Raw genomic sequence first — 26,032 nt, 5'->3', positions numbered from 1 at the left:
TGCATCTGTTTCTGCAGCTAATTTGAGACTAACAACTACTTGCTGGTCATTTGGAGTCTGTTTTGCTTCAATTGCTTTGTGCCATGGGAGGATTTGGTTCCCTGCTTGGTCCTTCTATCTGAACTAATTCGAAATCTGTATGTGTGCATTGCCTTTACACAACTCAAAGATCAGCTAGGTGTGGTGGCTCACGCCTGTAGTTCTAGCTACTCAGGAGGCTGAGGAGGGAGGATGGCTTGAGTCTGGGAGTTCGAGGCTGCAGTGAGCTATGATCATAACACCGCACTTCAGCCTGAGTGACAGTGAGAGCCCTGTCTCACAAAGCAAACAAATGAAAACCCCTCAAATACCGAATTTTGTAGGGGCACTCAAATCTTGCAGTCTTTTATAAAGGGGCAACCAGTTAATGACAATAGTAATATTTTTAGATTATTAGCAAATTGAAAATGCAAAGAAAAAAAATCCTCATACAGAACTGGCGGGTCCCTGAGAACATGTCTGTGGACTCCAGTTTGAGAAACACTGGCTAGAAAATGGAACCATCTGTCCCCTTAAGGAAGACACAGATGAAGTGACCTCTTTTTCATTTCTTCAACTTCCTGGGGGAATATCAAGCTGTGAAGGCTCTGAAGGGATAGGCAAGCTGTGAAAAGCTGTTAGGAACTTGGGGACAGGCCAGGAATGGTTAGGGAGCTGAGAATTCTCCAGTTCCTGCCCTGAAGACAAAGTGAAGGGAACAGAGGGTATTAAACACTTGCGGTTGACAATAGCTAGAGTAGGGATAACTTTGGAAAGACCCAGTACAGCAATTAAGAGGTAAAGAGCCACAACCCAGTGCCCTAAGGCAGAAGTTCTCAACTGGCTGCCTATTAGACTCCTCAGGGGAGCCCTTTAAACGTGCTGATGCATGGATCCATCAAAGATTTGAATTAATTGGCCTGGAGTTGAGCATCAGTGTTTGTAAGGTCCTCCAGGGGATTCTAATGTGCAACCAAGGTGGCTGATCCCTGTCCTAAGGGAAGCCTTCTCTGTGGTATAATTACATTTAAGGCCACCTGTATTAATTTGTTTAATGGGGAGAAGGGAACAAACCCTTATTGAATGCACTGTGCTAACTCTTTAAAAAAAGTGAATATAAATAGCAGCTAACATTTATTGAAAGCTTGTTATATGCCTGGCATTGTGTTAAGCACTTCATATGCTTTTTTTTTTTTTTTTTGAGATGGAGTCTCCCTCTGTTGTCCAGGCTGGAGTGCGGTGGCGCGATCTCGGCTCACTGCAAGCTCCGCCTCCCGGGTTCACGCCATTCTCCTGCCTCAGCCTCTCGAGTAGCTGGGACTACAGGCGCCCGCCACCATGCCCGGCTAATTTTTTGTATTTTTAGTAGAGACGGGGTTTCACCGTGTTAGCCAGGATGGTCTCGATCTCCTGACCTCGTGATCTGCCCGCCTCGGCCTCCCAAAGTGCTGGGATTACAGGCGTGAGCCACCGCGCCCAGCCCCTACATGCATTTAATCTTTACAACATTCTTACGAAATTGGTATTATGTCCATTTTACAAATGAGGAAACAGAGGCCGAGACCAAGAAATTTGCCTTCAATCATTCAGTAACAAACAAATATACAAATGAAAATAATAACTTGCCTAAGGTCATACAGCGAGGGGATGGGATCCGAACCACGGCCTTTAGTTCCTCCACTGCCTCCACACTACCTCAATAATGCGTTCAGCACCTATTTATTGAGTATGGGCTATATAAGTGCCTGACACCAGGATAGGTGTTGGGGACACGAAGATGATCAAAGTAAGCTTTCTGCTGCCTCCAATCTTATCAGAAAGACAGCTAACTCCAAAACAATGTGATCTGTGCTATTAGAGTTGCCCTTGTTTGCCCCGGACTCTCCTAGTTTTAGCACTGAAAGTCTCACATTCTGGGCAACTTCTTCATTCCTGCCTGGACTGGGACAGCTGGTCCACCTTAACTGTCCTAGAGGAATGTGTGTGGGCAGGGGTGAATTTGTATGGGGTGGTGGGGGATTGTGCAGAAGAGATTAGCAAAATCTTCACAAAGGAGCTTATGTCTTGTTTGTAGAATGATTAGGAGGAGTTCTTTAAGCAAAAAATGGAGAGGAGAGGGTTAAGGAAGAGCATTCCTGGTGGAAGAACCAGGGAGCAGTTTAGGCAAAGGCTCGGATGGAAGGAGTTTAGTAAAGTTAAGAGTTTGGGGTGCTGGGAGGTAAGGGTTAGATGAAGCTAGGAGTTTAGTGAATTTAGAGTTTGGGGTGCTGGGAGGTAAGGGTAGATGAAGCTAGGAGTTTAGTGAATTTAGAGTTTGGGGTGCTGGGAGGTAAGGGTAGATGAAGCTAGGAGTTTAGTGAATTTAGAGTTTGGGGTGCTGGGAGGTGGGGGTGGGGAAGCTGGGCCCATACTAAGGAATTAGGACTCTACTGGCAGAGTTTAAACCCCATAAGGGTTTTCAGCAAGGGAGTATTATGCTTGATTTTGCATTTGGACAGATCACTCTGATTACGATGTTAGGGTGGGAATTCTCCTGAAGAGAGGAGCCTGGAGTCTTGGAGAACGGTTGGAAGGATGTTATAATACAGGTGACACATGAGGACAGGAAAGAACAACAATAAGAAACATAATATGTAATGTTTATTGATGACTTAATACGTACCAGTTATTATGCTAAGTTCTCTACATGTGCTATCTCATTTAATCCTAATGATAAGTGAGCTGCTATCTTTATGCCCATATTACAGGTGAGGAAATTGAGACTTAAGGTTTAATTTAGTGCAAGTTACACTGAGAGTAAATGGCAAAGCCAAGATTCCAGCTCTTGCCTTCTGACTTTAAATACGTGCACTCAACTCCTGTTGCTTGCTATAAACTACGGCAGTAGGTACTTATCCATTCAGTCCAGCAACATTTATTGAGCACTTACTGTGTGCCAGATACATTTCTGGTTGATGAAGAAATAGCCAATGAACAAAACAGACACAACTCCTGATTTGATGGACATTACGTGTGTGTGTGTGTGTGTGTGTGTTTTGAGAGACGTATAAACAAACAAGTTACACTAACTTACTCGTGGTTGGATTTGGACTGTTTCTGGAGAGAAGAGGAAGGACTTAGTAATGGGGGGATTGTAGGGGGACCCCTAGGTTCCTGCCTCCGCCAAGTGCAGTGTGGTGGCCAGCAGAGCGTAGGAGCTCTGGAGGTAGGGCAGGTTTTGGGGAACGATGAAGAATCTTGTGTGGGACATGCTGGGTACCTGAGAACCCAGGGAGAGGGGCCAGAGTGAGAAAAGAACTCAGCAGGAAGCCCTGGGGACTGAGTTAAAAGGGAGAGGAGCCAGCTCCCGAGAGAGGGGACAGAGAGGTCAGAGGGAAGATAGAAAACTGGAGACCTCCAAGGCAGGAAGCCCTGGCATCATCAAATGCCACTTAGAGGTTCAGGGAGGGCAAAAGGGAGACACACAAAGTTGTAGGCTCTCCCCTCCCGCTCCCCCTCCCTCCCTCCCATTCCCCCTCCCGTTCCCCCTCCCTCCCTCCCTCCCTCCCTCCCTTCCTTCCTTCCTTCCTTCCTTCCCCTCTCCTCTTCCCCTCTCTCTCTCTTTCTCTCTCCCTCTCTCCCTCTTGGTTTCTCTTTTCTTTTCTTTCTCAGTGAGAAACCAGAATGGGAAATATCTACTGGAGGGTGAAGATACAGGAGGAAGCAGAGGTAATGCGTGAAGCAGAGCCTCAGAGGAGGTGGAGGAGGGTTGAACTCAGGGCCAACGTGTGGGGGCTGGTCTCAAACAGGAGGGTGTATCCCTGAGGCTGGAGAGGAGTGAGAAAAAAATGGTCAGGAACGCAGAGCAGCGCCTCTCGGGAAGTGGCTGCCAACGTTACTTGTGAGGTGGAAATGTCCAAAGTGGGTCTAGGATGCATCAACACAGGGGTGAAGGTTTGGGCTCCACACTGTGGGGAACAGGAGAAACAGCCATCCACCCGGGGCCATCCCCAAACTGACCTTTTCTGTGTCCCTAACCCTCAGAGGCCCGAGCTCTGCCTGGGAATTAAAACACAAATTCCTGCAAACGTGAGGTCTAACTCCACTGTCACGGAGAGGCTGACGATGCCAGCTGTGGGAATTGCAGTGGGGACAGGTATGGAGAGGATGTTTCTGGACATGGGAGTGACTGCCACTTGGAGCTGCAGGCAGAAGCAACAGCTGGTGTGTTTTCCTGAGCAGGTTGGGGGATGGCTCAAAATCAATATTTACTTTACAAACAGCCATCCGGAGGGTGAACCGCCCTGCCTCTCACCCTCAGCTTTTCTGGGGAAAGATGTCTGTGGCCTGCTTAGCTCTGCCCTGCTGGTCTTCGCCTCTCGATCCAAAGCAACTTTGATGTGTATGGGAAAAGTACTGCACTGTGAAAGGAACTGTGGACAGATGGTCCACCTGAGCTCAAAGGTGGGGTCCCTCCACGTATGCACCTCAGGACTTTCCATCCTGTGGGAATCTCCTAAAAAGTTGCTCCATGGGTGGCACTCTCTGAGCAGCACGATTGGTGGGGAGGGCTCTGTCAGCAATATTATGTCGTCACTGACGTCTGCAGGCTCTCCTAGGGGACACTTCAGAAACTTTCATAGAAATATTTCTCTTTGGCAACAGCTCGCTGTTTCCATGGTTTGACGATACTAGCCAGCTGTAAAGTAGGCCAGCACGGGAGAGGGCGGCCCTGGGGACACGGGCTGCATGGCACGCTCATTTCCAACCCTGGGGCAAGTCAGATAACCTCATTAGGTCTCCATTTCCTAATCTTCAAAATGGAACAACAGTGTGAGCCTCAGTGGCCTGGTGTTGTGAGAATGAGGATTAAAGAACTGCAAATTTTTGAGTTTTTTTGGTGAATAATTGTGAAGTCTTTTGGAGGACATATTTCAGAAACAAATGAAATAATAAAGCAGACCTTAAATGTATTGATATAAATTTTGCATAGGTCCAGTAACCTTTTCTTTGCTACGCTTAGTGATCTACTGATTTAAAAAGAGTCCTCTCATATGATACTGACAGAACATTTTTAACCTATTTTTTTTTAACCAGCAATAAGTTTACATAGTTCAACATTCCAAATGCATGAAGGGATACAGTTACTATTCCCTTTCCTGCCCCTGTTCCAGCCATCCAGAGTTCCCCTGCCTAGGTAGGGTGACCAACTGGTCCTGCTTTGTCTAGGACTTTCTGTTTTAGCTCTGAAATGTCCTCATCCCAGGAGACTCCTGAAACCCCAGCAGACTGGGATGGTTGGTCACCCTCTGCCATAGGCAACCAACATTATGAGTCTGTCATGTGTCCTTCTGAAGATATTTTGACAACAGCAATGTTAGTATTAAAAAAAATCCTTTTAGGTAAAGAAATAAAATGTCTTTCTCATAAAACACTAATGCATGAGGCTGGGCATGGTGGCTCATGCCTGTAATCCTAGCACTTCAGGAGGCTGAGGCGAGTGGATCACCTGAGGTCAGGAGTTTGAGACTAGCCTGGCCAACATGGTGAAACCCCGTCTTTACTAAAAATACAACAATTAGTCGGGCGTGGTTGCGGGTGCCTGTAGTCCCAGCTACTTGGGAGGCTGAGGCAGGAGAATCGCTTGAACCCGGGAGGCGGAGGCTGCAGTGAGCCGAGATCACACCACTGCACTCCAGCCTGGGTGACAGAGCAAGACTCCGTCCCAAATACAAACAAACAAACAAAAAACCAAACTAATGCATGACATCAAGGGGATAAGGGAGCCCACAATAACATGGAGGCCCAAATCTTATCATCAAACATAATTGTTTTTCCCATAATTGTTCTTACGATTGTAATTTCCAGCTCCAGAATTGCTATCCTTCTGCAAAGGAAAACTCCCTCTCAGTCTTGGGAAAAAGACTCCTGTAAACGTTAACAATCTGTGGCCCCATTTCTCATAGCCGTGGTTGACCGTAGACTCCATTATCAATTTGTTTATAATTTATTTTTGTGGAGTTAAAAAAAGCATTTGTGTACTTGGGATTTGGATTTCATAAGTATGCTTATTTGGCAAGTTATCTTTTAGATTTCCCTGTGCAAATGTAACTGATTTGGGAAAGCCCCATTTCAGAGAAAGCATAACACAGCCCTTATCACGTGTGAACTGAGAAAGACATCGGAAAGCCTTTTCCAGGCTAAAAATAGACCTAGAACGAGGTGTATTTTAGCTTCGGGACTTTCGCAAACTTTCTGGCAAACTAGCACTTTATTGTTTATGTATAAGGGGCTGACGTTCCTTTTAAATGTTCTAGCTTCAGGCTATCTTACTTTTGTGCAAAAAAGGATGAATTATTTATAAAAAGAGGCAAAAATATCACATGATAACACCCTCGTTTCTGGCGGGGAGTAAAATGAGCTGCAGCTGGTGCTGTGTCAGCTCCACAGGCGAGGTGCAGAGAGCAAGCGGAGGATGGGCTTGATCCTCTGATCCCTTGAGAGGGCCTGATGTCTGAGATGCAGCCTGTCCCCCTCCAGGATGGAGGGAGAGACCTTTAATTCTCATTCTCTCTCTCACTCATCACTCATTTTCTCTCTCTCTCTTTTTCTGTCTCCCTCTCTCTGGCAAACTTGGGAAGGCAAAGTATGGAGACCTTTTATAAGCTCAAGTGTGCGCAGAAGCTGGTTTTATGGAATTATTTGTATACACTAATTCTGCCAGCCTCAGTTTCTTCATCTGTGACAGGAGGTGATAACCGTATTTTCTCCTTAGGCCTGATGTAAAGCGCCTGACGCTAAGTAAATGCTCAATAAATATTAGCTAGTATTCAAGCTTGCCTGGCTGCTCAGAGACACAGAGGGGCGGGGTGAGCGAGTGGGCTGAGGAAGGACTGGAGAATATAAAGGCAAGGGGCTGCATTACCTGAGGGTAGAGAGGTCAGCTGAGCTGACCGGCTCTTCCTGGTTTGTCTGGGACTAACCTGCTTTTAAAAACACAGTCCTGCATCCTTGGAAATCTCTCAGACCCAGGCAAAACCAGAGGGTTGGCCGCTGTCCTGAGTTAGGTTAGGATGAATTGTCCCTCGTTTATTTTTCCTCGGTCTCAACTGAATGCTGTGTTACTGTACCAGGGTTCCATCATGTGTGTGCACAGGCAGGGACAAGAGAGCCACCTGACACACCCTGTGTCGCTCTGCCTGACTCTGGCCACCCCACCTGTCTGTGTTGTGACACAGTATTGTAACAAAACTGCCAGGCCCAGGGTTCCCCTGCCTACTCTGCCTTCCACCCAGTGGGGTTGTGCGGAGCCTCCCAGCAGGCCCAGGAAAGGTGGGAGGAAATTGTGCAAAGACTTAAGACAAACGAGGGAAATCCAATTCCTTTTATTATGTGGATGATAACAACTGTGTGTAAAGGAGTCTGTCTGAGAAGTGGATTTGATCATGACATTTACTAGTATTTGGGGCCTGCGTTTTACACGAGTGCTTGCGGCCTGCACGCAGGAGGTTTCACTGGGGTTGCAGAGGGTTCTCCCACTACTCAGCTCTACTTTTCCAAACGTACTCTCTGATATTCCCAGCACCGTGGAGCGAGACGGGGTATTTCTAATGGAGCAATGCCTCACTGTCTTTGGAGACAACCCCAGTCTCGCTTAGGAGTTGGAAAGACTGAGCTCGGGGTCTGTGCCCTGGTGCTGGTCTGGCCCCAGACACTGTAGGACCCCGCAGGTCTTCATTTCCTTGCATGTCAACCGGGGAGGCTATGATGGGGTACAGAGGGTTGCTGTGAGGACTAATGAGACACATGTGAGGTGAGTGTGGCACACAGTGGGCATGCAGCCAACATGAGTTCTTGCATCTGAACGTCTCTAGCAATGATTGTGGAATATACTCAGGACGGATCCTCTACTCCTTCTCATCCTTTTCTCTTGGGTCTGGAAATTTTATTTACTAGTGATTAGCTCAACAGTCAACATGTCTTGTCTGCAAATCAGAATGGCTGTGCTTAAGGCTAAAGGCCACATGCAATATATTTATTCCTTTCCCGAAAGTGTCCAGCCCGTAACAGGGGCACAAAACGTATCTGTTGCTGTGGGAAGAAACCTTCCAGATGACGAGTGCTAGTGACGTCTAGGAAGAAATGAAAGATGGGCTGGAACACTCCGTGGGGTTGCTCGCTGGGTTTCTGGCTGAGTCGTCTTGGACTTCCCCTCCACTCCTTTGCTGTGGGTCCCCCTCAGGTAGATGTGTAGTCAGCAGCTTCTCCAAATTGGAACAGAAATAACTCTCCAAGGGCTGAAGGGGATTTCCTTACCAGGCCAGACCTTTCTTCCACTGCCCATGCACATGTGCCTCTCTCAGGTCCCTAAATTGACAAGCCTCTGTTTCCCCCTCTGTAAAATAGAGATGCTAATGCCTATTTCCCATAGGGTTGAAAGGTATGTGTGATTATGCCTGCAAAGCTCAATGCATGGTGGACGTTGTTATCTGGAATTTCCTTACCCCTCTTCAGTCTACCCTTAAAAATTATTTTCCCTACACTGTGTCAGCAGTATGGGGTGCAGCGGGAACTGAGAGTCTGCCTCTCACATTCTCCTTACGCATGCTCCAGAGTTTGATCTCTGGTCATCTTTGTAAGCCCTTTGCCTGAGGGTATGTTAAAAACAAAGGTGAGTCATGTCATATTCATTTTAGGAAATAAAATAGTTAAGATTAATATATGTACTGCATGTAAGAAAACTGCCAAATTAGTACATATTTATTACAGAGCCTAGAGTCTGTTGCAGTAAAGTCTGATGCAGTAAAGACAACACAAATGCCCCATGATCACACATCTAGCGATAATTGCTATTAACATGTTGTTATATTTCCGGGGCTGGGCACTGTGGCTCATGCCTGTAATCCCAGCACTTTGGGAGGCCTAAGTGGGCGGATCACTTGAGCCTAGAAATTCAAGACCAGCCTGGCCAACATGGTGAAAGCCCGTCTGTACTAAAAATACAAAAAATTAGCCAAGTGTGGTGGTGCGTGCCTGTAATCTCAGCTACCTGGGAGGCTGAGGCACGAGGATGGCTTGAACCTGGGAGGTGGAGGTAGCAATGAGCCACAATCGGCCACTGCACTCCAGCCTGGGCGACAGTGAGAGACTCCATCTCAAACCAAACCAAACCAAACCGAACCATGTTGGTATATTTTCTTCCAATATATTTTCTTGTGTCCTTCTGTTTTAAGTCAGCTGCTAGTCACAGAGAATGGAGAATGTCTGTCTTCCAAACAGTTAGGTTACTTCACTGAGACCTATTTCCTCTGGGCTACATATGTATAAAACAGCAAATAGGTGAGAGGTGTCCAAAGGGTGTTCCTGCTCTGAATTCCAAGGTGGTTTAGGCATTATTAACTCAGGGATCTGGTTTTGCTCCATAGCTGTTGTCTCCTGGAGGTGTCCCAGCCAGGGCATCAGAAACTCCCTCCCTCAGATATTGGTGAACCTTGAAGGCTGGAAAAGTGATTTATAGTTAAATGCCATTTCAGTGATCCTTCTTCATTGCTCTGATATTTTATTAATAATTAACATTTGCTGAGCACTTAACCATTGTTTAGATATTTTGCTAAGCATGTTCCAAGTATTAACTTATTTGGTCCTTGAAATACTCTCATGAGATAGGTTCTCTTATTAGCCCTATTTTACAGATGAGGAAACTGAGGCATAAGGTTTAAACAAGATCACACAGTTAGTGGTGTACTGGAATTAAATGACTTGTATTTATTGTGCATATATGAATGTATGTACAGTATATAGAAAATATGTATAAATTTCTCTCTTCTACCTATATGCCCATCTATCACCTCTCTATCGTTTATCTCTAACATCTATCTATCTATCTTTATATCTCTCTCATCAATATCTACCCACCTTGGCTGGGCATGGTGGCTCATCCCTGTAATCCCAGCACTTTGGGAGGCCAAGACAGGAGGATCACTTGAGTCCAGGAGTTCAAGACCAGCCTGGGCAACACAGCGAGACCCTGTCTTGTATTTATGTATTTATTTTTAAGAAACTATCTACTTCCTTTTTTGATCTAATTATTTCTGAAGAATTTTCCTCTGTGTTTGAAGTGGCCGTTTACTAGTTTTGGCTTTGGCTACCCGCATCCAGATGTCCTTATTGTGGTGGACTCCTCAGTGGTGTGATCCTTGGTGGAGGAGGACCCCTGCTCTTCCCGTTTGGAAGATGAAGAGGGTGGGATATGCCCTCTCCCCTTCTCGGACAGTGCCACGTGACTGGGGTAGCCAATCAGGTGCTGCGTTTTAGGACCTTTAATTTCAAGCCAGTGATGCAACTCACAGGAAGTTAAGGAGACACTCTTCCAGCCCCGGCGCCGTGGCTCACGCTTGTAATCCCAGCACTTTGGGAGGCCCAGGCGGGCAGATCACTTGAGGTCACGAGTTTGAGACCAGTCTGGCCAACATGGTGAAACCCTCTCTCTACCAAAAAATACAAAAAGTGGTGGCACGTGCCTGTAGTCCCAGCTACTCAGGAAGCTGATCTGAGGTGGGAGAATCGCTTGAACCTGGGAGGCAGAGGTTGCAGTGAGCCGAGATCCGAGATCACGCCACTGCACTCCAGCCTGGACAACAGAGTGAGTGAGACCTTGTCTCAAAAAAATAAAATAAAATAAAATAAATAAATAAATAAATAAATAAATAAATAAAAATTCACTCTTTGAGCCGTGGTCACAGCAGTGGCATCTACTGTCTGGTGGCTTTAGGAGTCAGTGGTAATGGCGGAGCCCACGAGACATCTGCTGGACAGTGCTGTTTCCTAACCAGATCCTTCCTGGGTCTGATTTGGGCTTTGATTCTACAAATCCAGACAGACTCAGTTCCTTGTTTCTTGCTTGTTGGAATGGGCGTTGTAGCCTATTCAGTATCTATGTCTTCCCCTTCCTTGTTCCTAACACAACCTTTTCTTTTTCTTTAATTTTCCTAGGGGGGCGCCCCAACCCTAGTTCCAAGGCAGGTCTAGTCCAATCAGGGCATGATAGCCCCCTGGCTGTAACTCAAGATGGACCCATCAGACTGAGAGGAGGGTTTATGTTCCATAGTTGGAAAAAGTATTTTCCTCTCTCACCTGCTATATGTGAGCAAGAAAGCATTCCACCCTGATTGCCACTCCAGCCATCCTTGTGGATCTTGTGACCAGGCGGCCACCCTTCTAAGGTTGAAGTCAGTGCTGCGGCCAGCAGTGGAGAGATGGAAAGATCCAGGACCCTTGACATCATGCACATGGCTGAATCAACCAATCCTAAACCTCTCCTCCCAGGCGCTTCCTTTATGTGCAAGAAGATATTTCATTTTTATTTTTTATTTTTGGTACAATGTGATTTAAAAAAACATTTTATGTAAACAATTTCAAAATATTATGGGTACATCATATTCATGTGTATATTCATGGGGTACATGTGATGTTCTCATCACATGTGTAATAATCACATCAGAGTAATTGGGGTGAAATGTCCTTTTTTATTTAAGTCAGTTCAAGTGAGTTTTCTGTTTCTTATAGCAGAAAATATCCTAATTGGTTTGCTTGTTTGGTTTGGTTTTGTTTCCCTAAGCCTGTTTCTCTGAAGTCAGCATTTCTTAGATAACTTTTTGGTCTCAGGAATCCTTTCCATGCTAAGAAATATTGAGGACCTCGAAGAGCTTTTGTTTATTTTGTTTTATATCAATAAACATATTGATATTTGCTGCATTATAAATTAAACTGAAGTCTAAAATATTTAAAAACAAAAATAACACATTAACATCAATAAGATATTTTTTGGCTGGGTGCAGTGGCTCATGCCTGTAACCCCAGTGCTTTGGGGGGCTGAGGCCAAAGGATGGCTTAAGGCCAGGAATCCAAGACCAGCCTGGGCAACATAGCAAGACCCTGTTTCTACCAAAAAAGAATGAGAGATATTTTAATGAAAAATAACTAATTTTCTAAAACAAAAATGTTAGAGAAAAGCATGCCTTTCTTTAACATTTTTTTGCAAATCTCTCTAATGTCTGGCTTAATAGAAAATAGCTGGATTCTCACATCTGCTTTTGCATTCAATCTGTTGCAGTTTGTTGTTTTGGTTGAAGAACATGAAGAAAATCCAGCCTCACCTTGATATTTAGTCAGAAAAGGGAGGAAAATTTTAGTAGCCTTTTCAGGTAGTTGTGGAGATTCTTCTTTGATACTATACCAAAATTTGCAGGTTGTAGTTTCTTAAAGATTATTTGCAATGTGGAATATGAAACCATAGTAATGAATATTTTATATTTTGTTTCATCAGAGTCTATTGGTCTGTCTTATACTTTGAGTGGATCATTTACTCAGAAATGATTTTGTAACACTGTGCATTGGCCATTTGGAAAAATTTATGCAGATATGTCAAATTTTGATATGTTTCATTACATAATATAAAAAACCCATACTTTTAAATATCGCCACCAAGATCATCAGAAAAATTTTGAAGCATTGGGAAGCTGTCAAGCTCATAGCAAAAACATCCCAATTGACAAGTTTTCTTAAAAATTCCAATTTTCACCTGAAGGCTTGTATTTTATCATTGGCTACAATACTGGCAGTGGGTGTCCTTGAAATGACAGCCTCATTTTGCTCATTTTTGAGAAAATGCCTGCCAAAGACCAAGTGTAAAGTTTGTCAGTCACTCTCTTGATTAAAAATGGTCTTCCGTGAAAAAAGTGGCTAGTTCAGTTTGCAACTCTAGGAATTGTAAACATGCTTTTTCTTGAGTCAGTCATTATGCATGAATGTACAGCAGAAGTGATTTATTCCTATTTCCCATTTTATCATGTATAATATTAAAATGATCTTAAGGTCAAGATTTAATAATTTAATGGCTACCTCAAGGGCATTCTAAAGTGAAACTGATTTTTTTTTTTCCTATAGTGTATAGTTGTGAAGAATACAGCGACTATGAATATTGTGTACCTCGATTTGTGCTAAGGCACCATCAGTTTTCCTCACTGTTGCTTTTGCACTATTAGTGCAAATGTCAACATAGTGAAAAAGACACATAACATCTTATTATCATTATTGAATTAGTTTTCACTTTGAAGATTCCCTGAAAGGGTCTCAGAGACCCCAGGAGTCCACAAATCCCACTGTTAGAACTTCTGCTTTGGCTTACAGTCAATTCTGGAAGCAACATGACATGCTTCCAATAATCTCCCCTTCTCTGAAATCAACCAGATTTGGTTTTGTTGCCCGTTTACCATGTTAAAAATGTCCTTGTTTATGGTTATTTGAATTAAAATGTTTTTAAAGAACTCTAATTGAGGGCAATTTTTAAGTAAGCAAATGATTAGAAGGAAAGATTCTAAAGTTTCACGTTATGAAAAAAGTCTAACATTTATGCTTTCTACATTCTTGATGTTAGCATTAAACAATCAAGCATTGTTTAATGACTGATGTAGACCATCAGTCCACAAATTGTGGCAAAATAAGGAAAACAGCACTAATATTTTCTCTGTCCTATGGAAGCTTCCAGTGGCCTTGAGCTGGGTACTATTTGTCCCTACTTCAGATTTTTTTTTTTTTTTTGAGACAGAGTTTTGCTTTTGTTGCCCAGATTGGAGTGCAATGGCGCGATCTTGGCTCACCGCAACCTCTGCCTCCCGGGTTCAAGCGATTCTCCTGCCTCAGCCTCCCGAATAGCTGGGAATACAGATATGCACCACCACACCCAGCTAATTTTTATTTTTAGTAGAGACGGGGTTTCACCATGGTCTCGAACTCCTGACCTCAGGTGATCCACTTACCTTGGCCTCCCAAAGTGCTGGGATTACAGGCGTAGCCACCACGCCCAGCCTATTTCAGATATTAAAAACCTGGTATTCAGTGGTTAAATACTTGGCCAAGGCCATTCAGTGGTCAAACCTTTCATCCTGGCTAAGAGGCTCAAAGCCCAGGACCTCTTTGCTGTATCGTGCAGGAATTTCTGATAAGTACAAAAATAAGAGGCTGTGATAGCTGAGGTTTATGCCTTGGAGAACAGTTCTCCAAAATCATGGAATCAGAGGTGTTTCTTTAAAAACTTACTTTTATATATTCTATCATACTGATATGATGATGTTGACTCTCTACTAATGCAACATTTTTAACATACCAGAAGGTGATATTTCAGAGTTAGAAGAGACCTAAATCATGTGATCTATCCATATCTCTTATCACTGGGGCATATTTAACATGGAATGCATATTTAACATGCATTTCAGAAGTACCTTCTGGATGATGACTTCTGATAATCTGATTGTTGTCCATCCCCCCAGATCAAAATGAATTACACTGTAGGTGGCAGGCAGCTTCTAGGATGGCCCCAATGATCCCTGCTTCCTGATATTCATACTGTTGTGTAATTCCTTCTCCTTGAGTGTGGATAAAACCTGTGACTTGCTTCTAACTGATAGAATATGACAAAGGTGTGAGAATGTCACTTCTGTGATGAGGTTTCATAAGACAGTGACTTCTGTCTTGGTAGGTGACTCTTTCTATTGCTATCTTGACTTGCATACTTTGATGAAGCAAGTTGCTATGTTGGAAGGGCCCCATGCCAAGGAACTGAGGGCAACCTCTGGCCAACTGCCCCAAGGAAACTGAGGCTCCAGTCCAACAGCCAGTGCAGGGCTGAATCTGGCCAAAAAATGCTGATTGAGCTTGGAAGCAGATCCTTCCCCAGTTGAGCCTTCAGAGGAGACCCCAGCCCCAGCTGACACCTTGATTGCACCTTTGGGAGAGGCTCTGAAGCAGAGAACCCAGGTAACCTATGGTCAGTTTCCTGACCCACAGACTGTGAGATACTAAATGCATGTTGTTTTAAGCAGCTAGGTTTTAGGGCAATTTGTTATGCTGCAGTAGACAACTAATACACTGTACTATATTTGTCTCTTTTTCCAGCAGGACCAGAAATGGGCTGTTTAAGGTCCCTGGGACCTTGTCATGTCATGTGTATTTAACTGTTTACCCACCACCGAAAAGCTTCCTGCCAGGACCCATCTGCAGTGTAAAAGGGGAACCCTGAAGCCCTGGGAATGGCTCCTAGTACTTCAGGTAGGGGCTCTGTGTCCCCATCAGTTTCCACCTTTGGGCCTCCCACTAGAACTTCCTTAATTGTCTTTCTCCACCTAAGCATCATTTAGCTTACAAACCAGAGGCAGCAAGCCAATTATTCCCCGGAGAAACTTCAGCCAGGCAGGGGGGCATTAACCACACCAACTGGTGTTCCACAACAAAGGTATGAGAGGCAGAGATTCACATCCCAGTCCGGTTCGTAAGCAGAGGCGCATGAAATAAGAAACCCCTTTTGAGAAAGAGGGAAATTAGGGGAGATACTGAAATTATGCGTTGCATAGGACATCAGGCAACCACTTCACTGTCGGCTTCAGTTTTTGATCTGCAAGATGGGAGTCTACTTCTAGGTCCCATAGTTTTTGATTCTTAGTCTGACACAATGTGGGTTGCTGTGAGCTGGCTCTTTGGGTGCCAAGTCAGCTATCAAATGTGGGTAACAGAATACCTGTCTTCAAAGGGGGTTGTAGAATTAAATGAAATAAATAAAACACGTGAAACGTGTAACACAGGGCCAGCCCAAGTGTCATCGTGGCAGTTGCTGCTTCACCACGGGGTCTCAAGTCCCGAGGAATTGGGGTCGCGGGCGAGCGGAGCGCAGCCGGGACCCAGGCCGGGTGGCCTGCCCCGCCCACGTGGGGCCGCGGCCCGTCGAATGACTCCTTGCAACGTGTTGGTGGTGGCGGCGGCGGTGGCGCGGGCTCTTCCGGGCGCCGCAGCTTCCTGCCAAGCACCGCGCAGCCGCCTCCGCCGCAGGATCCCCCGGTGCAGGCCTCCGTGCTGGTGCGGATCCTGGAGCTCAGCCGCGCGCGCCCTGCCCGATCCTGTGCCGACCCACCGCACTATGCGCGCCGTGCCGCTGCCCGCCCCGCTCCTGCCGCTGCTGCTGCTCGCGCTCCTGGCCGCTCCCGCCGCCCGCGCCAGCAGAGCCGAGTCCGTCTCCGCGCCGTGGCCCGAACCCGAGCGCGAGTCGCGGCCACCGCCCGGCCCGGGGCCCGGGAACACCACCCGGTTTGGGTCTGGGGCGGCGGGCGGCAGCGGCAGCTCCAGCTCCAACAGCAGTGGCGACGCCTTGGTGACCCGCATTTCCATCCTCCTCCGCGACCTACCCACCCTCAAGGCAGCCGTGATCGTGGCGTTCGCCTTTACCACCCTCCTCATCGCCTGCCTGCTGCTGCGCGTCTTCAGGTGGGCCCTCCCGCCCTCTTCCTTCCCCCGCCGGCCGACAGGGCGGCATCGCCAACCTGCTGTCGCCGCGCGCCCGCCCCACCTGCACGCACAGGTGCCCTGGTGCGCCCCAGCCAGCCGTGTGCCTCCTGCCCTGCCCGGGAGAGTGGGTGGGGGGCCGGGGTGTGCTCGTCTGGATTTTCCTGGTACATGTTTTAGGAATTTTCTTTCCTCTCTTTAACTATATATATAAAATAAATATGTGGTTCCCATTTGTTGGCTTTCTGCTAATGCTGAACACTAACAATAGCGCTCTGAATTCTGACAGCGTTTCCCATAATTTATTTTTATAATCATTTCACAGATGAGGAAAACATTTTCAGAGAGGCAAAATGGCTCATCTAAGGTAAACTCAGTGGTGGAGGTAGGACTTGAACCCAGGCCTGTCTAACTTTAATCTCGCTACTCCCTCTCCCTTCTACCATCTGCAGCTCCCTCACGCCCCGCCTACTTTTTCTTCTTCTTCTTCTTCTTCTTTTTTTTTTTTTTGCTACTGAAAGAAGCAGTTTCTAGTGTGGGGGGTAGTAGAATTGCCTCCAGAATTACGCTGGAGGGGTGCTTTGCACCAGGGGTTGGAGCTGAGCTTCAGGATTCTAGGCGACCCTTGGTGGCCTCCCTTATTTTCTGTTGGTGGGGGACACAGACGGCTTTCCTAGGCTCCTGCCTAAGTTGCGCTAGATGAACATTCACAGGGGCATGAGGGATCTTGGAGAGCCTTTTGTAGGTTGCTCACGTTCAGGGATAAAGTGTCTGGTAAATTAGGAAGGATGTCCCAGGTCCTTGATCCCTGTCCATCCTGGTGGACAGGGCTAAGAGGAATGCAAGGACATTTCCTTTAATGCCTGGGAAATCCTGTTTTTGCAGGAAATGAACCAAACCTGTCCTGTTACTGAGGCCCGCCTGGAAGTCTGGGTGTGTGTGTCAGCTGTTCACTGCTGCCTCCCTCTGCTTCCAAGCGTACACACAGTGCTTTGGTGTTTGATCAGCTGTGGCAGGTTGGGCTTCAGGGCTTGCTCTCCTGGTAGCATTTTCAGTGCAACAGCAGAAACCAGACCAGGAAAAGGCAGAGTTAGGAGCCATCTATGTATTGAGCTTTGCTGTCAGTTGTGTGTGACTTTGAGTCCAGGTGTTTTCTTCTGTGTCTGTAGGATTAGATGCCAGTGGTCTGAGAAAATGGAGAAAGGGGAAGTATGGTCCCACGCTCACCTCACCATTCCCTGCCTTGTCTCAGGCCACATCGTTCCTCACTCTGCTGGTCTCCTTGATGTTCTCTGGGTTGAAATGCTCCTGTCTTCTTCCCACTCTACCCACTGGCCTCAATCCTCTGTTTACAAACTCTAGCAGCTCTCTGTGGCCACTACCTAGGCATGGCAATACCTGGGTGTGGCATTTGGGGCCCTTGCAAGCTGGCCCCCGTCTGCAACGCAGACATCAACCAGCGCTTCTGAGCCTAGTACCTTGTCACTTGCTCCTTATGCTCTGTGGTTTCCCGCTTCTAGCCTAATTCTTGCCTCTATATTCTACAAGTGCGTGCAGCCACCAAGGCCCAGCTCCCATCCTCCTTCCTCTGTATAGTTTTCCTGGACATTTGAATGAGGCTGTCACTATTTTCTGACCTCCTCATCCCTAATCTGTGCATCCTTCAGTCCAACCATGCCATGCTGGCTTCTGCACTCAGCAGAGGGCCCTTGAGGTTGGGAAGTCCAGTTCATCTTCGTGTCTCCATGCCCGATGCGGGCCTGCCATTCAGCAGAGGTGCCATTGTCATCTACGGACTTCCTGATTGTTCAGTTGGAGTGAAGGTTAATGCCTAGAGCAGCTCTGAGTCTGGAGGTTTGAAACATTTAGCTCAAAATAGGCCCTGGAGTCCACAAGGCTGTGTATTTTTTTTAGAAGGTATTTGAACAATTTTGCTAGTCTGCTGTTTATTACTCAGGAGTAGGGGAGAAAAGAAGGCAGCATGCACCCAGATGTGAGGGGTGCGAGACTCATGTTGGAGTGGGTAAGCCAGCACTCTAGCCTGGAAGAGATGGGTCTTTAGTAGCTTGGGTGTGGAGTGTTGAAAGAAGTTTACGACTTCATAGGAGAAGCTGGTTATGGACATGATCTGCGTCTCTTCCCAGGAAGGCAATCTTGTTAGGGTGAGTTTTCAGGTGGACAGCTGCCACCCCAGATTCTGATCTAGAGAGGACTTTGTAATATTTTACAGCTTGCAAGGGCCCTGATGGTGCACAGTCCCCATGTGTTTCTTTGCAGTTGAGAAAGTTGCATCCCAGGAAGTGGAATAAGTCATTGCTAGATTCTAGAACACTCTGCAAGTCTGTGTAGCCAAGGCAGGGCCAGCACCTCATCTGTGCTATTCGGTCTGTACTGTGGCCTTTCCCCTGTCCCACGCTCCCCTGTAACCTTGGTTAGTCAGCTAACCAAATGCCTGCTCTGCTGGCTGGGGGCCCTCCTTCCTTTCTCCCTCTGCAACTCCTTAGCCTGCGGGCACCGAGTCCTGGAAATTCCACCACCTGAGTCTCCAAGAGACTGTCTCACCTCTGCCCACACCACCTTCCCCAGTGAAGCTTCGCCACCTGCCGCCGTTTCTACCTTGTCGCTCCTGAATTGCAATAATATCTGTTAAGCTGGGGTTCGTGCCTCCAACCTTGTCCCTCTCCAGTCTGTCCTCCCTCAACTGCAGGAATGCCTGTCTCATCCTTCTTCTACCCCTCCCTGCCAATTCTCCCTGCATACAGACTCCTTGATGTGTGGGCAAGGCTGACTCTTCAGATCAGGGTGCTGCCTCCCTCCTGAGCCCCCATCTCGGCTCTGCTCAGTGCGCCTCCTGCTTTGCTGGACTTCCTGGGGTTCTCTGGAGGCACTGCGTGGCCTGAGCATCTTGTCCCACTCTACCCCTCTGCCTGGAGTCCCCTCTGTCACTAAGACTGCGTGGTCAGTTCGGTGCTGTTTGACCTCGTTGCTGTTGCCTCCTCTGAGAAGCCTCTGCAGCTAGGGCCCCTCTGTGCTTCCAAAGCACACTCGATTTTTGAATTCCCTCTTCAGAGTCAAGTGCCACCGAACTTCTTCTGAGCAGGACTAGGCATTAATCTTCTGTGTTTCCCTAATACCTAGTGTGGTTCCAGGCACAAGCTGGCATTTAATAAAGATATTTTTAGCAAAAGAATGTTGAGCTCTCAAGGATTTTACATTGCTGATGTCTCTCAAAATGTGCTAGACTAGCTGCATGACTGATGCTGGATACCTGCGAGGTAGGAATTTGTACAATGTAGATAAAGGAGAGTGTAGTAAGTATGATTGCGTATAAAATGGCAGTCCTAGCCTATTTCTCTGTTTTCTCTGAAGGAGTCACCTTACCAGACAACAGAAAAAAATTGGATCCAAGGAAATTAGAAGCAAAGAATGTGTCTTTTAATGAAAAAGATGTATACTTTTAATCAAGTGATTCCATTCTTAAAGTATGTACATTTTCCACTGCACTATATATTCTTTGCTTCTAATGTGAATGATTAGAAGAGAAAGCCAAGATGCAAGTGCAATGATATTCAGAGAAGCTCTGTTTGATAGTGAAAAGGTTTAAATAATCCAAGTGTCCAACAACTGGGCATTGGTTAAGCAAATCATGGCAATCTTTATGGCAGAATACTGTGCAGCTGTTCAAAATGATGACATTGAGATAATACTTGCTATATATTTTTGAGTCTGAAACAGGTCACAAAGTGACATGTATAGTATTAGCTCATTTAAATAAATTATAAACATGTATATACGAATGTGCAGATAAATCTGTGTGTCTGTGCATGTGGGTGATTATCATATTTTTTTATTATTCACGATATGTTTCTGCATAGTTTGAATTCTTTTACAATCCAGAAGCATGTAGTTATGATGTGTGTATGTTGAGTATCCCTGTGTGTATACTCAGCTCCTGGCCGCATTCTTGGATGTGTCTTTCTGAGGACCAGTATGAGAGCATCTGGGGTGTACACCTGGGAGTGGGGCTTCTGGATCCTAGGGGGTGCTCATTCTTGATTTCCTTGAGCAGGCACCAGTGTAGGTTTCCATCTGCAGAGCCTGAGGGTTCTCAGATTCTCACATCATATCCAACACTTAGTATTATCTTACTTTCTAATGCTTTCCAATCTGATGGGTATAATTTGGTATTCATTGCTTTATTTTGTATTTCTTCATTTTCTACCATAGTTGAGCCTCTGTCTCTTCCAAATGTTCTCCTTAATCAATCTGATTTCCCCATCTGTAGAATCACGTCCACCTTTTTAAATGTATTTCATCATTAAGGCAAACCATTTTTAGACAGGAGACAAAAATCGGAAGGAGGGAAAGCTGGCTGGAGACCGAGGGCCCTTTGTTGGGTACCTTCACATGTGTGAGAGTGGTCCTACAGGTACCTGGTGTGGTGAACCCCCTGGGTCTGCTACTTGGCAGGTTTATGGGAGCTGAAAGGGAATCAGCAAAGAGGCTGTCTCTAGGAAGTAGAAAGCTGTGATTGCTCCTAATTTTTTGGTATTGGGAAACAACTGGTGATGTTGCATGGATTCAGGATAATACACATAAGCCAAGGACTGCTGGTATCAGTACCTTTTGCCCCCTACATTCACTCAGAACACTTTATTGTCTGAGTTCTGGAAGGAATCTGACTTTACGCTCTGGTGTCTCATGAGCAGAGCGGGGGCAAGTCAGGAAAACCCTGCCACCTCGAAACCACAACGTTCCTTTCATCCTGGGGATCCTTTCCCAGTCTTGGAGAGTCTCCGAACTCCACGGTGCAGGCTCCAGTTCTCTAGATGTCTGTTGGCTGCATGCCCAGCCACTTCTTACTTCAAAATCTCTGTAAAATCCTCTTATCTGAAAGGAGGCTTCTTTTTGGTGCTTCCCGAGGGATCGGGAGGTTGAATTCTAAGCGGTCTGACATTGCCCAGCTGTCAGTGGGAAAGGTGCACACTGCTATGCCCTGAAGACATTGGAACCACAGATGCTTTGTTAATTTTACTAAGCCAGGTCTTTGAAAAGGAACGAGAACTTTCCTACTTATCTTGTATTTCCTAAATTCTCTATTGTGTGTGTATTTACATTTGTTATAAGAAAAGTTATTTAAAAGAAAATATAAAAGCTTAATACTTTTAGCATTTAGGGAAAGTTACCATTTAAAAATTTTTTTGTCATTGCTTATTATTTCATGGTATATCAATATTATTTTAGTAAATTGGAGTTTTGGGTGGAGCCATGGTTAGAAGGTCCAGCCCCATTTTGATTTGAGAGAGGTTGTGGGACTTGTTAGCATCAGTCGGTCGTTTCTCATTGCTTCCCCAAGGCTTTGAATTGAAGGAAAAAACTATAGAAGTGACAAATGTTCATCTTCTTTCATGTTTGATATTATATGCCACAGTGAAGAAGTGTTAAGCAAATCGGATACAGCCAAAATCCAGATTCTTTAAAAAAGAGAGTAGAGAGCAAGCCGAAGGATTTTGCCTCCTGGTGTTATTTGGTCATATCTGGAGACATTTTGGATTGTCAGGATGGGGAGCCCCAAATGTCAAGGGTGCCAGAGTTGAGAGATGCCGAGAATCTCGGCTTCAAGGCCTGCTGGTTGTCTGATATGGGCAGTTTATTGAACCTTTCTGGGCACCATTTCTCATCATTAATTAGAGTACATGCTTCCAAGGGCTATTGCAGGTTTAGAATGAGATTGTGTCAACTAAGTCTCTGGCTCCCCTTTAAGCAGTCAAGTGTCCTATTATATTGAAAAATACGATTCTGAAAACAGATGTAATTTACACCCAACCTTTTGGTCTTGCTTCTGTCCATAAATGAGGATGCAGCCATATGGCCACAATTATCAGGCAGGTGCATCTGTTTCTGAGGCTCTTTGAAATGAAATTGCTGACTCTTTAGCCCAAGTGAGCCTCCTTGACTACTCAATTCCCTGATGAAGGAGGCGCCTCATGACTGCCCCCATTAACAGGACTGTGAAGACCTGGCACCTGACGTGGATTCCTTCTATCAAATTGGAAAGGGAAGAAAATCCCTCTTTAATTTAAGCCTGAGCCTCCTGACTTATATGGCATTACCCATAGACTTTCATGCCCATGTAGGCTTTGTGTATGGGTGTCTTTGCAAATGCAGGTTCTTCTTGAGACACCAGGCAAATCTAGGGTAAGCAGTGGGGACTAAGGGAACTCCAATGTCAGTATCTGTAGAGCATCCTGTAGGGCGAGTGTCAAGAGAGGGAAACACTCCTGGATTTAAGCAAAGAAGCCTTCATGGATTGTGTTAGTACTTTAGTTTTATGACTGAGGTTTTGGGTCTAACCATTTGCAAAGGGAAATCCTGGGACCATGAATTTAGGATCATGTTATTATTGTTTCACTTAAAAAATAAACTATACTTAATCTAAGGGCAATCTGCCAGGAATCTAGATTTGCTATTTATTTTCCTGAGGGTGCGGGGAGGAGGAAACCCTTTCTCACGGGCAGGTGTGGCACAGAGGAGGGACCATGGCAAAGTGCTTGGGCAGGGCTCTTGTAGGCCTGGCAGAGCCCTTCTAGACCCCTCCCTCTCAGGTAGGCGTTTCTTTGCATTCAGAGCTCCTTCCGCCTACCTCCCTACACTCATTGTACAGATGAGAAAACTGAGGCCCAGAGTGGGGAGGCTTGGTGAAGGTCACTGAGTGAGTTTGTAGGAAAAATAGGACTTAAACCTAGGGGCTTGGATGCTCAGCTTGGCCCTTTTTGGACCTCCAAGATGTGGTGGGCTGAGTTTGGCCCTGTCCAGCGAGGTCTCCCCAACACTGAACCCAGCACCTAGGAGCAAACACGGCTGAGTAAACAGTGTTCTTCCCAGGGTGTTTAATTAGCACCCACTGTGAACATAGAGGTGCCATGGAACACATCAGAGGTCAAGGACCATCCAGCTCAATCTAAGGCATAGGATAATGCCCTTTGTTGACAAAAACCCCAAACTCTACAAATATTTAAAGAGGTTTATTGTGAGCCAATATGAGTGACCATATTGACCTGGGGAACAATATCAAGAGGTCCTGAGAACGTGGGCCCGAGGTGGTCAGGTTTCAGCCTGGTTTTATACATTTTAGGGAGATAGAAGTTACAGGCAAAGACATGAATCAATATATGGATGGTTTACTTTGGTTCAGCCCAGAAAGGCAGGGCTTCTTGAAGTGGGGCTTATAGACCATAGGCAGATTCAAAGAGGTTTTGATTGGCAGTTGCTTGAAAGAGTTAAGCTTTGTCTGAAGACTTGAAGTCAATAGAAAGGAATGCTTGAGTTAAGATAAGGGGGGTTGTGGAGACCAAGGTTCTTGTTATGTAGATGAAGCCTCCAGGTAGCAGGCTTCAGAGAGAATAGATGGTAAATGCCTCTTTTCAGATCTTAAAAGGTGCCAGACTTTTAGTTAATCTCTCCTAGATCCACCAAAGGCCTAGCTGCATTAATGAAGATTCTCTATAGATGCAAAAATTTTCCCACAAAAGATGGCTTTGCAGGGCCATTTCAAACCATGTCACAGACATTTTTGGGTAAAATTTCATTTCCTTCAGGGCCTGCTGTCTGTCATGTGATGCTACACAGAATCAGGTTGGAATTTGGTATCTTATTGCCACAAAGAGCCTTGTTTTGCCAGTCTTATGATCTCTATTTCATTATTAATGCTGGTCATTTGTGCCTAAACTCCAAAAGGGAGGGGTATAATGTGGCGTGTCTGACCTCCTTTCTTGTCTAGGCCTGGAATTTAGTTTTTCAGGTTTCTCTGGGGTCCTCTTGGCCAGGTCTCTTCAACTGGCTGGGGGGCTTAGAATTTTATTTTTGGCTTATGGCTTGAATGATTCTACTTGGCAGATAAGGAGCCGTCCAATCCCACAGGGGAGCCATGTATTAAAAGCAATGCTAGGTAAACTGAGAAAGGATGGGTCAGGGACCAGAATGGTCTGGGAAGGCATGGTGGAGGAGGAGGACGATTAGGACTTGGCAGGATGGGAGGAAGAAGAGGTTCTTCCAGGACCAGATGGGTGAAGCAAGCTTTGCTGAGGGTAGGGTTTGTGAAATCACTTGGAAATTGTGATGTTGATGACAATAATAGCAACTAGTATTTATTAAGCCCTTACTGTGTAACGGACTCTGTGATAAGCATTTTATATGTTTTCCTCACTCCTATGAGTGGTGCACTGTCAGTCCTGTCGACAAAAAGAGTCAAGCTCTGTAAAATATTTAAAGAGATTTATTCTGAGCCAAATATGAGTGGCCACTGGCCCATGACTCAGCCCTCAGGAGATCCTGAGAACATGTGCCCAAGGTGGTTGGGGTACAGCTTAGTTTTATACATATTAGGGAGACATGAGATATCAAATACATGTAAGATGTACATTGGTTTGGTCCAGAAAGGCAGGATAAGTGGAAGGGGGGATAACTTCCAGGCCATAGGTAGATTCACAGATTTTCTGATTGGCAGTTGGTTGAAAGAGTTAAGTTATTGTCTAAAACTTAGAAATGTCTGGGTTAAGATAAGTGGGTGTGGAGACCAAGGTTTTATTATGCAGGCGAAGCCTCCAGGTGGCAGGCTTTGGAGAGAATAGATTGTAAATGTTTCTTGTCAGACTTAGAGGGTCTATCAATAAATCCAAAAGGGAGGAGGGTAGAATCAGGTATGTCCAACCCCCCACCCTTCCCATCATGGCCTGAATTAGTTTTTCGGGTTAGCTTTGGCACTGCTGAGATTCCAAATTGCTGTCAATAGCCTTGCTGAGAGGAGGGGTTCATTCAGATGGTTGGGGGGCTTAGAATTTCAATTTTGGTTTATCATCCCCATTTCACAGATGAGAAAACCAAGGCTCAGTTGTTGAAGTGTCTTGCTCAAGGATGAGCAGCTGGGGAAGGGGAGGAGTCCGCCTCACCCTTCCCATTGCAGCTGGATTTTGGAAGCCAATTCCAGCTGGAGGACTAGGAGATTTGTAGTGGGTGAGAGGAGCAAATGGAGGATTTTAATACAAGAGTGAAGTAATCACAGGGCTTCTCTAGAAATGTTGGTCCAGATCAGGTTGTACCAAGGATTTACCAAGAATGCATGAATAGTGACGTGGCTGGTGTGGGGGGTGCAGGATGTCTGGGGAGACCCGTGGAAGGTGCTGGAAGGACCACTTGGGAGGACTGGAGGCCTGAATGGATGAAGAGGAGAAAGAGGAAAGTGTCAGGCTGTCCTGAAGGGCATAGAGAAGGGGGGCATTGTGAAGGGGGTGACCAGGCAGGGAAAGGGATAGGTTTGGTGAGGAAGAAGAGGACTCACAGGTGAAACTTGCTCATGAAAACTCCAGCCATGCAGCTGGGCCTTGGGGCTGGGTGGAGGGGCATTGGGAGCATCTGCCTAGAAGGAGTGGGTGGTGAGGACTGACATTCCCACCCTCCCCTACCTGGGTGGCAGGGATAAGTGGTACTGAAAGGGCCCCTTACGACATGTGCCCCAAAGCACTGTGACCTCAGAGTTTCCAGGTGGTGGTCAGGTCCCCTGGGTCCACCAAGGGCCCCTCTGGGTCATCTTGCCGCTGTCCTTGACCCCATGGGGCTGCCCCTAGGGGCTACCTTCTCTGCTTTAAACCTCACTTCCCTTCCCTGGCCCCTTATATAAAAACAAAGCAGAACCAACCCTTTGCAAACA

The 26,032-nt window shown here is 46.0% G+C and overlaps 1 protein-coding gene across 1 annotated transcript in view, besides 8 other annotated features; it reads left to right on the top strand.

Moving 5' to 3' along the window:
* Positions 6,738-7,237: an enhancer, noted in NCBI's record as "H3K4me1 hESC enhancer chr15:93207617-93208116 (GRCh37/hg19 assembly coordinates)". NCBI's record gives its function as "activates a minimal SCP1, AML or CMV promoter by ChIP-STARR-seq in primed H9 embryonic stem cells {active_cell/tissue: H9 hESC(primed)}" and the evidence as "EXISTENCE:reporter gene assay evidence [ECO:0000049][PMID:30033119]".
* Positions 7,725-7,774: an enhancer, noted in NCBI's record as "active region_10117". NCBI's record gives its function as "activates an Ori minimal core promoter by ATAC-STARR-seq in GM12878 lymphoblastoid cells {active_cell/tissue: GM12878}" and the evidence as "EXISTENCE:reporter gene assay evidence [ECO:0000049][PMID:35858748]".
* Positions 8,155-8,274: an enhancer, noted in NCBI's record as "active region_10116". NCBI's record gives its function as "activates an Ori minimal core promoter by ATAC-STARR-seq in GM12878 lymphoblastoid cells {active_cell/tissue: GM12878}" and the evidence as "EXISTENCE:reporter gene assay evidence [ECO:0000049][PMID:35858748]".
* Positions 15,673-15,722: a silencer, noted in NCBI's record as "silent region_6843". NCBI's record gives its function as "represses an Ori minimal core promoter by ATAC-STARR-seq in GM12878 lymphoblastoid cells {active_cell/tissue: GM12878}" and the evidence as "EXISTENCE:reporter gene assay evidence [ECO:0000049][PMID:35858748]".
* FAM174B (family with sequence similarity 174 member B) overlaps positions 15,849-26,032 on the top strand; it is a 38,328-nt gene continuing 28,144 nt past the window's right edge. Inside the window, exon 1 of the mRNA NM_207446.3 lies at positions 15,849-16,308. Coding sequence (NP_997329.2) covers positions 15,965-16,308 — 344 coding nt within the window. The 5' untranslated portion in view covers positions 15,849-15,964. The remainder of the gene's footprint in view (positions 16,309-26,032) is intronic.
* Positions 16,003-16,202: a silencer, noted in NCBI's record as "silent region_6842". NCBI's record gives its function as "represses an Ori minimal core promoter by ATAC-STARR-seq in GM12878 lymphoblastoid cells {active_cell/tissue: GM12878}" and the evidence as "EXISTENCE:reporter gene assay evidence [ECO:0000049][PMID:35858748]".
* Positions 16,303-16,352: a silencer, noted in NCBI's record as "silent region_6841". NCBI's record gives its function as "represses an Ori minimal core promoter by ATAC-STARR-seq in GM12878 lymphoblastoid cells {active_cell/tissue: GM12878}" and the evidence as "EXISTENCE:reporter gene assay evidence [ECO:0000049][PMID:35858748]".
* Positions 16,403-16,472: a silencer, noted in NCBI's record as "silent region_6840". NCBI's record gives its function as "represses an Ori minimal core promoter by ATAC-STARR-seq in GM12878 lymphoblastoid cells {active_cell/tissue: GM12878}" and the evidence as "EXISTENCE:reporter gene assay evidence [ECO:0000049][PMID:35858748]".
* Positions 23,320-24,099: an enhancer, noted in NCBI's record as "OCT4-NANOG-H3K27ac-H3K4me1 hESC enhancer chr15:93190755-93191534 (GRCh37/hg19 assembly coordinates)". NCBI's record gives its function as "activates a minimal SCP1, AML or CMV promoter by ChIP-STARR-seq in naive and primed H9 embryonic stem cells {active_cell/tissue: H9 hESC(naive and primed)}" and the evidence as "EXISTENCE:reporter gene assay evidence [ECO:0000049][PMID:30033119]".

This window comes from Homo sapiens, chromosome 15 (genome assembly GCF_000001405.40).
Source record: "Homo sapiens chromosome 15, GRCh38.p14 Primary Assembly".
NCBI lineage: Eukaryota > Metazoa > Chordata > Mammalia > Primates > Hominidae > Homo > Homo sapiens.
The sequence above is the reverse complement of the archived record's forward strand: the minus strand, read 5'-3'. Positions and strand labels throughout refer to the sequence as shown.